Source organism: Homo sapiens, chromosome 14 (assembly GCF_000001405.40).
Source record: "Homo sapiens chromosome 14, GRCh38.p14 Primary Assembly".
NCBI classification, from domain to species: domain Eukaryota; kingdom Metazoa; phylum Chordata; class Mammalia; order Primates; family Hominidae; genus Homo; species Homo sapiens.
This window is the reverse complement of record NC_000014.9, coordinates 95470168-95485043: the sequence shown is the minus strand read 5'-3', so window position 1 is coordinate 95485043 and position 14876 is coordinate 95470168. Positions and strand designations below refer to the sequence as shown.

General features: G+C 52.4%; 1 protein-coding gene across 6 annotated transcripts in view, besides 3 other annotated features; it reads left to right on the top strand.

Moving 5' to 3' along the window:
• Positions 1-14876, top strand: part of SYNE3 (spectrin repeat containing nuclear envelope family member 3) — a 109385-nt gene that overhangs the window by 31607 nt on the left and 62902 nt on the right. For 5 of the 6 annotated variants that reach the window (NM_001363692.2, NM_152592.6, NM_001384281.1 and 2 more), the window contains exon 2: positions 9209-9366. In NM_001363692.2, coding sequence (NP_001350621.1) covers positions 9223-9366 — 144 coding nt within the window. In that variant the 5' untranslated portion in view covers positions 9209-9222. Of the gene's footprint in view, positions 1-3636; positions 3770-9208; positions 9367-14876 lie in introns of all 6 variants that reach the window. The other variant, NM_001384283.1, reaches the window with a different exon arrangement.
• Positions 4415-4814: an enhancer, noted in NCBI's record as "active region_8960". NCBI's record gives its function as "activates an Ori minimal core promoter by ATAC-STARR-seq in GM12878 lymphoblastoid cells {active_cell/tissue: GM12878}" and the evidence as "EXISTENCE:reporter gene assay evidence [ECO:0000049][PMID:35858748]".
• Positions 8557-9442: an enhancer, noted in NCBI's record as "H3K4me1 hESC enhancer chr14:95941939-95942824 (GRCh37/hg19 assembly coordinates)". NCBI's record gives its function as "activates a minimal SCP1, AML or CMV promoter by ChIP-STARR-seq in naive H9 embryonic stem cells {active_cell/tissue: H9 hESC(naive)}" and the evidence as "EXISTENCE:reporter gene assay evidence [ECO:0000049][PMID:30033119]".
• Positions 9443-10329: an enhancer, noted in NCBI's record as "H3K4me1 hESC enhancer chr14:95941052-95941938 (GRCh37/hg19 assembly coordinates)". NCBI's record gives its function as "activates a minimal SCP1, AML or CMV promoter by ChIP-STARR-seq in primed H9 embryonic stem cells {active_cell/tissue: H9 hESC(primed)}" and the evidence as "EXISTENCE:reporter gene assay evidence [ECO:0000049][PMID:30033119]".

Sequence of the window (14876 nt, the reverse complement as noted above, 5' to 3'; positions counted from 1 at the left end):
CCTGGAGCAGCAGTGTCAACGTTACCTAAATACTCATTAGAAATGCAAATTCTTAGCCCCCAGTTTTATAAATTGGGGGTGGGATCCAGCCATCTGTGGTTTAACAAGACCCCCAGGTGTCTCTGAGGCAGGCGCCAGTGTGAGAATCACTGAGCGAATCCACCGTTCCTCAAAGGATTTTGGTTTTGTTTAAATCATAACTCTCAGTGAAATACATTCTACATTTATACATATGCAACACATCCATCAAACAAGCAACAGTCTCATGAAACAGTATTTATCCTTCATCCATGAGAGGCACTGTGATATTTTTCATTCTATTCTATCTTCTTTCCTTACAAAGCACTTTTGATCAAGACCCCTGAGTAGATTTCACAACCCATGCATAAGTCACACTCCCAGTGTGAAAAGCCAGTACCAACCCCGCTGCATTGACTGGCTTGTCCACACACCAGTGGCCCATGGCACTCAATGTTCCAGCCAGGCTGGTACCTGTGCCCTGGTACCCTGCTCAGTGCTCTCTGACCTGCAGCAGATGGCCAGTGCCCTGCCTGCCTGCCCTCTGACCGGCTCCGCCCACACTGCCAGCAGCCCCTGTTACTCCGTGGCCAGGGTTCCCCTCAGGAGCCCCCTTGAACCTCCTGGGAGCCCTCCCCTTCAAAGTGTCCAATTGGAGCCTGAGACGATCACACCTGGTCCCAAGAGCTAAGGCCCCACCCCTTGGAGCCACCCACCCTGCCCTAGGAACATATCTCTGCAGCAGCCTGGCCTTCATCCCTACCACGGCTGGGGACCTCTTTTTACCTTGCATACACTCTGCCCCCTCCACTCTGTCCCATTTCCCTCTTAGCTGCCCTGGTGTCTTCTCTCCCTCTCAAACACCTGTATTTGTGTGTTGCCAAGGCCAGCACTTCCCAGGTGGAAATCCTGGCATCCTCCAGACTATGCCTAGGGAACTTGGGTTTCATTCATTGAAGAGAGACTGGAAATGGGTTTTATGGTTGGCGTATCTGGAGAAGCAGGTGCATCAGAGAGCAGCTGGCTTTCCCTACCAGACACCACCGGTCTGTGACAGTGGGACTGACTTAAAATGGCTTCGGGACCGCTTGCCTCCAAAGCAGTCCCTGGCCAGTGTCCTTTGTGGCTGTAATTGTAGAGTAGACCTCACAACCCTTTCCAAGGTGGGACTTCTTGTGTAACCATGCCTAGCTGGTGGACAGAGGGTGGCGTGGCCCTGCAGCCCGCATGGCTTTGGTGCAGTCCCTTAACCTGCCAAGCCTCTGTCTGCTCACCTCTAAGGCGGAATGAAGCCCAGTAATTGCTCCTCACTTTGGATTAGCTGCCTGGCAGGGTTGTTGTGAGATTAAATGAGATAATGCATGGGCGCTACCGTTGAGTTCCTATCCCTCCTTTCACACACTTTGTTCTGAGAATCACCTTCTGCCAGTGCCACAGAGGAGAAGATTGCCAAGGTCTATCCTCTTGGTGCAACCTCCTCTGTGATAAATAAACAAAATTGTGTTCCCAGAATCCATTGGAAAAAGCTTTGGGATTAAGACCAGCTGTAACTCAGTTCCTGAAATAACATCCAAGCATAAGAGAGCAGTGGGAAAGAGAGGATAAGGGTGGGAATGTGTGTGGCAGGGCAGGAATGAGTCACAGGACAGCCGAGTGAGTCACGGCAAGCGAGCACGCCCATGCCAGAACTCTGGGTCAGCTTGTGGTGGGCGGCCCCGGCCAGCTTGACAGAGCAGGGGCACCAGGCTGTAATCGCTAATGGGGCCTGCCATGGGAGCTGGGGTTTTACCTGGGTTTACCTGGGTCTGAATCCCAACGCCTTCTGAGTTCCAGAGCAGAATGTCAGTGGGCAGCTGGGTTGGCACAGGGCTGGAGTGAGCGGGCACAGTGTGACGGAGGCTGCCTGGCAGCTGGGGGGCTCAGTTGGTTTCCCTGAACTCTAGATTCTTGAGCTGCAGCTCAAGATAGATTCCTGCCCTGGAGTTACCTTCCTGGAACTCGGCAGTTACCAGTGGGGTTCTGGGAGGGACAGAGAGGGCCGTGGAAGCTGTGTGGCACCAGGGGATTTAATAGCAAAGAGTTTAGACTCAAGTCATCCTTGGTTCAAGTCTTGCCTCTGCTACTTAGCATCCCGGTGACTTTGGGCAGCGTTGTTAGTATCATTAAACCTGTTTTCTCAGCTGTAAAGTAGGGATAATGTGAATGTGTCACTGGGCCTATGTAGGATAAGTGAGTTAATACCTACAAACCTTTTGTCATACAGTCAGGCACCTGCAGAACACCGGGTAAATGTCGGCTTTTACTGTCATTGGTGGACCTGGGTCCACCACTTTTCAGCAGACTGTTTGTGTCTCCGAGTCTCAGTTTCCCTCTTTGTAAAATGGGACAAATAATGCCCGCCACATGACAGTCACTCCCTGAAACTGACGTTGCCGCTTTCTTTGCTCGGGAGGGGCTTGCTCTCATGTTTCAGGGGAGTTCGCTAACGAGATTGGGTTAGGACCTGAGCAGGATTCTTGGAGCCTCTGGATCACTGAATGACAAGAATTAGTGTTTTCAAATTCCCAGATAATATTAATTAATTAATTTATTTTGAGATGGTGTCTCGCTGTCACCCAGGCTGGAGTGCAGTGGCGCAATCTCTTCTCAGTGCAACCTCTGCCTCCCGGGTTCAAGCGATTCTCCTGCCTCAGCCTCCCAAGTAGCTGGGATTACAGGCGCACGCTATCACGCCTGGCTAATTTTTGTATTTTTAGTAGAGACAGGGTTTCACCATGTTGGCCAGGCTGATCTCAAACTCCTGACCTCAGGTGATCCGCCTGCCTTGACCTCCCAAAGTGTTGGGATTACAAACGTGAGTCACCACGCCTGGCCCCAGAGAATTTTAAAAACTGCTGTTAGGGTGTTGGAGGGATTGAGACAGAGGTAAGAACCTGGTCCTTATGGGGCATCAGCCCCTCACCAGTGGCATTGCAAAGCCAAGTAGGGGCCCCACCCAGCACCCTGAGCTTTGGAGAGCCGGGGAAGGGGAAGGGAGGGAGAGAGGTCTGGACCCAGCGACCCCAGGACACAGGGCCCTCAGCCTCAGTTGGCAATCCACGTGCTGACCCAGCAGGCGATCTGCCTCGGGCGTTTTTTCAGTGCCAGGTGCCAGTATCCTTTCCTTCCTGCAAGCCTGGTCCCCCAGAGACCAAATTGCATCTCGGCCAATTGCTTTCAGGCCTGGAATCGGGCAAAGGGAGCTGGTGTCCAGATGGACATTCACAGTTACCCGATGGACCACAGGGGCAGCCCTGGCCTGGGGGCCCACACATCTATTTCTCCCCGTCCTCTGCTCTGCCCTGGGTCACAGGAGAGCTGACCCCCTGCGGGCTGCATTGTCCCGGCTCCCCTATACTGGCTTCTGGCAGGACCAGAGGTAAGTAGTCGGCTGGGGGTTTCTCTGACAGCCTCTCCGCCCTGGGTGGTGTCTCCTGCAGCAGATGTATCTCCTTTGGGGCTCTAGTTCCTGCTGCTCAGCGGCCCCCAACATGGGTCTAGGAACATCTAACATTGCCTCCCCGCCTTGTCTCTCTAGCGTAGGGGTTGATCTCTGGGCTTCCTTTTGTCTCCTCGCAGCTTCTCAGCTCCTCCTCCTCATTACACCCTCCTGGTTCATAGCTGGACTCGGAGGGGCTTTACTCTGCTGATTGGACCTTGACTCACACGGGCTTGCTTTCCTCCCAGGGGCAGTTCTATTGGATGCCCCACGGTAGGTGAAGTTCAACTTTATTTTGGAGTCAATATGGTCTAGTGAGAATCTCGGGCTTCAGAATCCAATAGAACAAGGTTTAAATGTCAGCACTACTGCAAGTGCCTCCATGTCCTGGGCCAGTGACTGCAGTCTGCGCATTCTTATCTAGGGTTGTGGAAGGTAACAGCCGCTCCTGTGCCCCACGCACCTATTACTGACCAGGTGCTCCCACACCTGCCCCAGTCAGCCCCGCAGCATTCTAAGAGGTAGATGCCGCTGCTGTGCCTGGGGTCGGGGGTGGGGAGGAGGCTCTGCCCAGGCCGCCAGCTAATGGGCCACAGAGCTCAGCTGAGAGGCAGCCCCGCTACTCCCCTTCTGCTGCTGCTGAGATGGGCTGGGGCTGCCTTTCAGACCGGGATGCCAGGAGGCCCAAACGGGGTGGCTTTTGGACAAGGGCCTCACGTGGTGTGGGCCTGTCCTTATTTCATGAGTGTTAGCACCTTCTCTTCCATGGCTGGCCTTTTTTTTTTCAGTTTGCATCACGTTTTCCAGTATCCCTGAGTCAACCACACTCTTCCTTATGATATTTCAGCTTCTTCAAAGCACTCTGAGCTTTCTTTATGACTCAAATTAAGGTGTCCCATTTTGAGAAGATGGCTAAAGCCTGGAGCTCAGATTCTGGAAGATTCCTGTCCTCTCCCAAAGTGCATCCTTACTGTCCATTCCTGGGGAGGCTGTGTCTCCAGCCATGCCCACAGACCTTATCCACCTCTGGGGGACTGGCTGGTCTTCCAGGCCCATAGCTTTTGACCCAGGTTCTGTGTTCTGAGCATGGGCTCGGTCTCAAGCCTGCCACATCATCTGCCCCAGCTCGGGGGTTTCCATCATGAAAAAAAAATCACTTCTCTTCCGCTGTCATTTGTGATAACCACATGGACGCTGAAACCCAAACCCAAGGCTGTTTCCTTTCTGTCTCCTCCATACACCAGCGCCAGCATGACCCAGAAAGGGTCAGCACTCTCATGGCCAGCCCTCTCACTGACTCAGTGGGGACAGCTCAGAGACACGCCTAGAGCCCTACTCTCCCGCTGCCTGCAGCCACACCCCAGGGATGTCCCCAGACAGGGCTTGGAAACAGAAAATACTTTTTTTTGCTTCTTTTTACCCCTGAGCACATTTCTTTTGCAATACTGTTTGGAAACTGCACAGTTCTTTTTTATTTATTTATTTATTTATTTTTTAATCCTATCTCCATTCAACCAGTCCAGAGACGAAACTTCTCCCGTGCCAGAGAGGCATGCTGGCTCTGCTCACTCCTGCAACCTTTTCTCATTGTCCTTGGCCGTGTGCGTCTGCCATTTCTGCAGTGACCCCAGTCTCAGCCCACCTTTGAGTGCAGAGTGCTTCCCTCCTCCACACACCCTGGCCTGGAGCTGTCTCCTACCCGCCCCTTCCAATGCCTAACCCTTGCCAGCTCTGGTGCCCTCAGCAGGCAGTGCCTCCCAGCCACCTTCCTCAAGCCAGGTGACAACCACTCCTTTGAGGTCCCGTGGCCCCTGTCCTCCTGTCTCAAAACTCATGCTGGCCTCACTGTAGCTGCCTTACTGTGCGTCCATCCCCGCCCTCCACCCCCACTGCACTGGACATGGAGCCTCACCAGGCCAGAGCCACACTTGGTCTGTCTCTACATCCTCAGCACCTGCACTCAGCAGCCACTTAGTGCACTGATTCATTAGTCTATCAGCTGGTAACCCAGTTCCTATGCTCCCCCAACCTTGAGCTGGTGAGACAGCTGCTGTCTGGATGCAGGTTCCCAAGGATGGAAAGCCCTCCACCCAACACCTGTGCGTTTGGTAAAAAGGAACTATTTCCAAGCATGGTGTGTGCTCCAGGTTCTGGGCAATTTTTTTAAATTTTTATTTATTTATTTATTTTAGAGACAGAATCTCTCTCTGTCACCCAGGCTAGGGTGCAGTGGTACCATCATAGCTCAATGCCGCCTGGACCTTCCGGACTCAAGTGATCCTTCCACCTGGCTAATTTTTTTTTTTTTTTTTTTTTTTTTTTTGGTAGAGACGAGGTCTCACTATGCTGCTTGGGCTGGTCCTGAGCTCAAGTGATCCTCCCGTATCAGCCTCCCAAACTGCTGGGATTACAGGCATGAGCCACTGCACCTGGATGGGTTTTTAAATTAATTAAATCTAGGTGTTATCCCCATTTTCCAGATGAGAATATGGACACCCAGAGAGGTTAAGTGACCAGCCAGATGCCACACAGCTAGTGAGTCATGGGGACTTGACCACTGGGACCAATTCTAGGTCCTTCTGGCCTCATGGCTGACTCTTTCCCAGACATGTGCCGGTGGGGTCACTTAGCCAGCTAGCTTTGCTGCCTGCTGGGCTTTCTGCAGTTGCTGGTTGTAGCCTTGGACCACCTGAGATAGGGGATGGCTCACGACAGCCTATAGGCCAAGTGCCCTCGTGGTGTGTTTTTGTCTAGCCAGTGAGCTAAGAAAGGGTCTGACATTTTCAAAGGGTCGTAAAAGCAAGGGAGACTATGCAACAGAGACTGTATGTGGCCCGAGACAGCTAAAAACATTTTCTACCTGACCCTTTACAGGAAGAGTATACCTCTGCCAATAGACAGTGTCCCCCAGACCATTCTTCCTTGCAAGGGGTTCAGGGAGTGACCAGCGCCTGTGCAATGGCTGTGGGAGGCTGGCTTACCTCGTCCTGCCTTACAGGGAGTGGTGACACAGGAAGCAGTGCTCTAGGCTGGCTGAGGAGGGGTCCGACGGGCAGAAAAAGGGAGGACCCAGAGCAGTCTGGTAGTCCCAGGGCAGAAGCTGGTCCCCAGGACCTGGCGTGCAGGGGTCACAGTAACATCGACCCTCTCAACCCACAACCTCAGAGGTCCCTCACAGACTCCCTGTTCAACTGTCCCTGATACCACATTAGGTGGTAAAGAAGCTCCTCTGAGAGCTTCTTTAGAGTAAGATAGTGTCTGCTGTCTGCTTATTGGATGCTACGATCATAGCATCAGGCCTGCCTCTTAAGTCCTGTGTTTCATTGAACTGAAGCAAAATAGGCAGAATTGCAGAGGAGGCTCAGGTCTCCTGAACTCTGCCTGCAGCCTCGCCCAGCCCACAGTTCGGTTGGTCTGAGCATCCCCGCCTGCTCAACCCCACCGGGTCCCTGGGTTTCATCTGCTATACCCTCCAGACACCAACCACTGAGCCTCACAGGTCACGGGCATTGCCAACAAGAAGGGGTGCTCTAAAGCCTCGCTGCCTCTTGATGATTAGAGCCACGCTTCCCCACTGTCCTGTCATCTGAGACTCAGCAGGACTCGTCTCTGTCCCTCCCATTCTTTGCTTAATAAAAATAAAAGCTGAGTTTTTGGAAGCCATTCAAGTCACACACTAGCTGAGAAATTAGAGCCACAACAAATACATTTAAATGCTTGCACATCCAATGCACTTTTCAAGTAAAGCATTCAAAGGCAGGGAGTGGCTACAGGGAACATATTAAGTTGTTACAAAAAAAGTCAAAACAGGTCTGAAAGGAAAGCAACTCACTGGGAGAATCACAGGACGGGTTTCCAGAGCACAGCCCGCTACGTCGCCCACCTCCCCCTGGCCAGCCCACATCCTTTGGCCCAGCACGCGTCTGATGGCCTCTTCCATTTTCTCCTTCTCTCTTGTGGGTTCTCCCCGAAGCTTCTTCTGGCCCCGTGCAGGGCCTGGGGATGGTGCCCAGCTTCCCAGTAGATACTTACTAACTGATGAGTGAAGACAATTTTTATTTTTAATAGTGATGATTTTTACTGTAATGTAATAAAAATTGTAAAGTAAATTCTAAGTGCTTAATAGAGAAAAATAAGGGAAAAAAAAACAAACTTCCAATGGTGGTCCTACCCATCTCAACCAAGTGGCCTTCAAGGTTACTGTGCCTCTCCCCCAATGCCAGGGAGAGAGAGGCCTGAGGTTCCCATGGAATGTGCTTAAAAGCCAGGCCTGGAAGGGGCTAAGGCCACTGCACACAGCCCTGACTTGATCACATAGACCCTTTAATGGCAAGACATCCTGGCCTTTTTCTTGAACTCCTGGGCTCAAGCGATCCTCCTGCCTAAGCCTCCCAAAGTTCTGGAATTATAGGCATGAGCCACCATGCCCGGCCCCAGCCTTTTTCTATGAGTGTAGTTTTTGTTAATGTTTTGTTTTGCTTTTACTAGTTGTTGAGTTGTGACTACCTAATATATAATTTTGTCTCTTTTTTGGTATTGCCATTATATCCTAAAAATTACCATTCACAAATTCATTTTAAGCCTCCTTTTTGCTGGCTGCATAATATTCTAAAGTGCAAGTGTACCATAACTTACTTAAGCAATCCCCTATAATTAGGCATGTGGGTTGTTTCTGGTTTTGTTTTGCCATTTTAAATAATGCCATGTTGAGTTTTTTGATGTGTTAAACTTTATACCCATTCTGGGCTCATTTAACAACATTGGCCTTACTCTGTACAAGGTATTGTGGGAGACTGGAGGATAAACCAGACACAATCCCTTTGAATAAAATGCAAATACAAATAACTTTAGTTCAAAGCAGTCACATGGTTGCTATATGCAGACAACTAGAACTGGAATACAGAAGAGTTTTGCCTGGACTAACTGGGATTTTAAGAAAGTCACAGGAGAAAATCTGAGGCTTTGCAGCCATAGCCCAGGGGAAGTCAAATGGACAGTCCAGCAAAAGGGGTCTCTGGTGGGTGACCTATGCCAGCAGGCAGGTGTTACCTAGGGCCGGCATAGCAAGCGGGTTGCATCTCGAGCATTATGTTCGTTTTCAGTGGTTGCGAGGAGTGCTGCGCAGAGGTCAGAGGGGAGTGGCTCAGTGGGTAACTTTAGCAGGACCTGCCCATGGACCCAGGTTGGTGGAGTGGTGGGGATGGCATGAACCTAACACGACCATCCCCAGCCTGAGAAGTTCATCTCAGGGAGAGCTCAGGGCTGGTGTCAGCTTGGCCCATGCCCAGAACAGTGTTCCTTAGGTTGAGGCCTCTTTGATCCATTCAAATCAAGATCATTATGGGTCCAGACGTTTCGGACTGCAGGTTTTGACGTCCTCTTTTGGAGAGCGTGCAATCTGAATAGACAGACGAGAATTGCCTCCGGGCCTCAAGCTTCGAGAAGAGGAAGCAGGGAACCTGAGAGGCCAAAGACAAAGCAGTTTTGCCAGGCCAGAGCCCTAGGCCAGTTTTCCCAGAGGCCAGACCTGTTTTCATTCCCTGCCTAATTCCATTCCTGACAAACGTGCTCACCTCTGGCCATATTGCCCAACTGGGAGCACCAGGGGAGGGTTGGTGGTGGGAGTGGGCCTGTCCCAGGTGTCCTGCCGGGGGTCTTTTTGCAGCCCCCTACATTCCTGCCTGTTGGCCTTATCTGTGGCCCTTTCTTCAGCCCCTGCAGGTGCCATGACTCAGCAGCCCCAGGACGACTTTGACAGGAGCGTGGAGGATGCCCAGGCATGGATGAAGGCTGTGCAGGACCAGCTGCAGGTCAATGACAACACGCAGGGACCCCGCGCGGCCCTGGAGGCCAGGCTGTGGGAGACCGAGGTATGCAGAGGCGTGGCCTCAGATGGCCCTGTGGTCTTGGCCCCATCCCACCCCGCCCTCAGACCTCAGGTTTCCTATCTGTGAAAGGCAACGGTGGACTAAACCAATGTTTCTCAAACTCTGATGTGCACACAGATCTCCTGGAGATTTTGTTTAAGTGTAGACTCTGATCGGGTCATGGAGGTGAAGTCCGAGACTTTGCTTTTGACAAGTTCCAGGTGATACCATTTTTGCTGGTCCTTGGAACACACTCTGATGACAAGGAACTAGAGCCTGTCCTCTCATCCTCCTGTCCCTGCAGGGGGGACCCGTGCAGCCTGGTGGGTCCCCAGCCCTTGCTGGGGGGCTTCCCACCCCTTCTCTGCTTCTGCCTGGTTGGGGTCCCTGCCAGATCTGGGTTGGCCAAGGTCTTCCTCCAGAGGAGCGGGGAAGGGGCTCTGCCCAGCAAGGAGTGACTTCCTGAGCTTCTCCAGAACCATAGTCTGGCTTTACCCACCCCACCTGGCACAAGACCATGTAGCACTAAGTGCTGGTGCCCAGTGCCTGGCCTGGCATCGTGGTGCCCCTGTCTGAGGGTGGGTCGCCCGTGGCCTGGGGACAAGAGGGAAGAATACTGAGCTAAGAGTCGGAGGCCGGAGTTATAATCTCCTTGCTGATGCTAGATTGCTGTGTGACCTTGGTCAAATCCCTGCCCCACTCTGGGCTTCAGTTTTCCCATCTGCAAATGGAGCAGTTGACTTCCACACCTCTGGGGTCACATCCATTTAGATATCCCATAATTCTAATTTATCACCCAACAATGGTTGCTCTTAGTGTGGGGTGGGGTGCTGCCTTCTCCCGCAGCAAACCAGTCACCCAGCCAGGCTGGAAGCAGTGGTGACCCCACAGCTGGTTCCTTGTGTGTTTCCTTTGTGTGTGCTGTCTTCTCGATTCTGTGCACTGTGCACCATATTGCATATATCTCATGCCCTTTCTGGAAGTGGACCGTGGGAATTAACAATCCTCATCACCTTTCCAAGTCAGTGTTTGATTTCAGTGTCACCGCCTCATCCAGAGGCAGGAGCCATTGTCTGCATTTGCAACTGGGGAAATGGAGTCTCCTCACACCGTTTCCTGTGCCTGCAGAGCCCTGTCACGTTCAAGCTCTCTGCTGTGCTCCCTTCACCTTCTGTCTGGGAAGCTCCCTCACAGATCACCCAAGAGTGGAATACCCCCTGCTTTCTGCCATCCCTATGCCAGGGCTGGGGCTGTGCAGGTGGGTGAGGCCCACCCTGCTCTTGAGGGTTCCCAGCCTCATGGAGACACGTATGCAAACAATCAGGGCAACTGCACAAGCATGTATGAGGCACACCCCTAACGTGGGTCCCATGATGTTATTCTCTTCCTCTAAAACCTTCCGTGGCTCTCACTGTCCACCAAAGGAAAAGCAAACTTCACCTGGCTTCAAAAGTCCCCCACTATCTGCACCACTCTCTTTTCCAGCCTTAGCTCTCCATGCTGTCACACCTCCCAAGATCACACCAGCCTTAGCTCCAGCCACTGTCATACCTCGCAAGCTCATACCAGCCTTAGTTCCAGCCACTGTCACACCTCACAAGCTCACACCAGCCTTAGCTCCAGCCACTGTCACACCTCGCAAGCTCACACCAGCCTTAGTTCCAGCCACTGTCATACCTCCCAAGCTCACACTGGCCTTAGCTCCAGCCACTGTCACACCTCGCAAGCTCACACTGGCCTTAGCTCCAGCCACTGTCACACCTCACAAACTCACACCAGCCTTAGTTCCAGCCACTGTCACACCTCACAAGCTCACACCAGCCTTAGCTCCAGCCACTGTCACACCTCGCAAGCTCACACCAGCCTTAGTTCCAGCCACTGTCATACCTCCCAAGCTCACACTGGCCTGAGCTCCAGCCACTGTCACACCTCGCAAGCTCACAACAGCCTTAGCTCCAGCCACTGTCACACCTCGCAAGCTCACACCAGCCTTAGCTCCAGCCACTGTCACACCTCCCAAGCTTACACCGGCCTTAGCTCCAGCCACTGTCACACCTTGCAAGCTCACGCCCTCCTTTGATTGGCAGAAGACCTCGTAGACCTTCCACCGCCAAGCCTTTGTCCATGTGTTGCCTCTGCTTGGAATGCTTTTTTGTGTGGGTCTGGGTGTGCACAAGAAATGAAACCCTCCTGTCCGTGCATCTCTCCTGACCAGTTTCCGCCTTTCTCAGCCCCAGCTCCTGACCTTACCTGTCTGTGAGCATCACAGCCCTGCCTGTGTGCCCACTGTGTTAGGGTGCTTAGCATTTTAAACTTTCTACCCTTTGCTGGTGGGTCTTTCCCTCCAGGTGGTGGTTCTGGTTTAAGCAAAGTCAAGGGTGGTCCTTAGGAAGACACATTGGCAGGACCAGGGTGGATGGGCCCTGGAAGCCAGAGGCAGCACTTCTGTGAGCCCCGAGGGGGTGGGAGTCCAGGCAGAGGGGAGTCATGGCCTGAGCGTTCTGCCAGTGTCTCCTCCCACGGGGCTCCGGCATGCTTCATTTACTGTGTGTTTTGCCACTTCAAAACCAATTTCACAATAAGAAAGAAAACGTTTTCCTGTTGCCAGCTGGTAAGAGGGGGCAGCTAGTGCCTCTCGACCTACCCATGGGACCTGCCCCCGGGTGCTGGGGTCTCTCTTGTGCTTCCTCCACCAACTCTGTTGGCTTGTCTCCAGTGCCTGTTTGCTGCAGTGACAGGGACGTGGGCTCTGATCCAGTTCTGACTCTTAATAGCCATGCAGCCGGGAGGATGTCCCATGCCTTCCCGGGACCTCATGTTCCCATCTGTAGAGCAGGAATGAACCCCCTCACCCCTTGTGTTCCCGAGGGGTTAAGGGAAACTCCAGAATCCTCGTGGGGTGGGGGCTTTCTGTAAGGTGTGATTGGAGAACCCATCGCTCCTGGGTTGAGAGCTTGGCTACTGGGTCTGCAGGCCCGGGCTCCAAAGTCTGCCATGGCTGTGGCACCTCAGGAGGATTTCCCAGAGCTCTCTGAGCTTCAGCTTGCTTCCGGGGAGAGTGATAGCTGCTGCCTTTCAGGAAGGAGGGAGGATTAAGGAGGATCATTTATAGACATGCTTGTATGCACAGTGCAGGGTATGCTGGCAGAGCTGGCGAAATGGAGGCGATCGTTTCTTGTGGTTTTAGAAGCTGGGATACACAGCATACCAAGTGTCCCTGCCCATCCCCAGAGCCTCCAGCAGTGGGTCTTAGGAGCTTCCAGCCACACTCCCAGGTTCCAGCATATGTATTTATTTGTTTATTGAGAGGGAGTCTTGCTCTGTTGCCCAGGCTGGAGTGCAGTGGCACGATCTCAGGCTCCCTTGTCCTGTATCTGGGTCCTGGCCTGAGCCAGGCAGCTTCCTCACCAGCTTCTGGGCCACCGTCTTGGTCAGGAGCACCCTGGTGTTTCTCAAGGCTTGGATTCCCAATGCATTCATCCTTCAATATATCTTACTTCCCTACCTTTGCTCAAATATCCTTCTCCAGTTGTCTTTAATTAGAGACCTGCAGGCTTCATGCCAATGCCACCTCCTCCACAAAGCCTTCCTGGATTTCTCCCATCCCTCCCTGAGCTCTCATACTACTTTGCGGTCTCTCCTGGCCCTTTTTGCAGTCGTCTGCGCTCTTATCTGCAGCCCTCTTTCCTACCAGCTTGTTCATCCAGGACCCTAGCACTCAGCATAATGCTCAGCTGGGGGTCACCTGGTCTTGGCTGGGTTGAGGGAAAACCCTGATTAACCCCATTCCTCCACTTTCCTGGTCTCCTGATACTTCTCTCCAAGGTGTTTCCTTACATCCGATCCCCACCTTCCCCTTGCCCTCATTGGCTGCGACAAATTGGAATAATTCTGTGGCTGCAGTTCAAGTACTTTCTCCCAGCTGGCCACGCAGACCTTGCCAAGCACTCCTGGACTGTGTCCTTGCTGGTGATGGGCTATAAAAGAATCTCACACCAGCCAAAGAGTGTAATCATCAGCGCAGTGAAAAAGAGTGGAATCTACTTCTCAAAATTCGGCTTTTCCAGCCTAGCCACAGCCTCTGGCCTCCCCTGGCTTCAAGCCTCCAATAAACTTCCTACAGGTTGATCTTTCAGGGCAGACGTTTCTTCTCCAGGTCGGGGAAGGGGGCTTGGTGTCTTGCCTGCCTTTGGACCAGCCAGCTCCTCTGCCTTGGTAAAGAAGCATCAAACTCACTCCCTTGAAAAGGCAGTGGGTCTCGGGTCTTTGTGTCCCCTTCTGTCCAGCCTGTGCCTCTTTCATGAGGATAAGAAGGACGAAGGTCCAGGGGTCTGGGGGGACCACACAGTCAGGACACCAGGCTTTGGAGAAGGGGCCATTGTCCGCATGGGACATTCCAGACCTGGCTGCTCCTTCTGGGTGTGGCCAAGGGAGATGGAATTTCACTTCTTCCCCAGAGTTGTTGGCTCCTGTGATTTTCAGAGCTGGACTCCATCTGAGCTGAAGCTGGGAGCAGGTGTGGAGGAGGCTTCTCTGGCAGCTGTAGAGAATCATTCCTCAAGGCTGGTGGTTTCTGTGGGTCCCCAGCTCCCTTGTTTGTAAATTTGGACTTATTGTGTTGCTAGCTTGGGGAATATGAAGTCTCCTTTCACATTTCTGGGAATCAGAAATATCATCTTACTTTCTTTTTTTTTTTTTCCTGAGACGGCGTGTTGCTCTGTTGCCCAGGCTGGAGTGCAGTGGTGTGATGGCTGGAGTGCAGTGTTGTGATCTCGGCTCACTGCAACATCTGCCTCCCAGGTTCAAGCAAGTCTCCTGCCTCAGCCTCCTGAGTAGCTAGGATCACAGGTGTGCGCCACCATGCCCGGCTAATTTTTGTATTTTCAGTAGAGACGGTGTTTCACCATGTTGGCCAGGATGGCCTCAAACTCCTGACCTCGTGATCTGTCCGCCTCGGCCTCCCAAAGTGTTGGGATTACAGGCGTGAGCCACCACATCCGGCTCTTTTTTTTCTTATTTTTAGTTTTTTAGTGACAGGTTCTTGCCCTGCTGCCCAGGCTTGAGTGCAGTAGTGTGATCATGGCTCACTGCAGCCTCAACCTCCTGGGCTCAAGCAATCTTCCTGCCTCAGCCTCTTGAGTAACTAGGACTACAGGCATATGCCACTGTGCCTGGCTAGTTTTTTTTTTTTTTTAATTAAAAAAAATGCTTTTGGAGAGATGGGGCCTCACTGTCTTGCCCAGAGTGGTTGCATACTCCTGGCCTCAGCGATCCTCCTGCCTTGGTCTCCCAAACTGCTGGGATTACAGGCATGAGTCACCACGCCTGGTCTACTATTATTTTTAATCAAATTAAATCTCTCTCTGAATGGCAACAAATTCATCCTCAGCCATGCTGTGGAACCCTGCCCCTGGGTGGTGTGAAACATCCTGGGTGGATAATCGTATTCAGTCTAGAACATTCCACACTGGCCCTTGGGTCTTCAGGCCACACTGGCCACTATGGTACTTTTG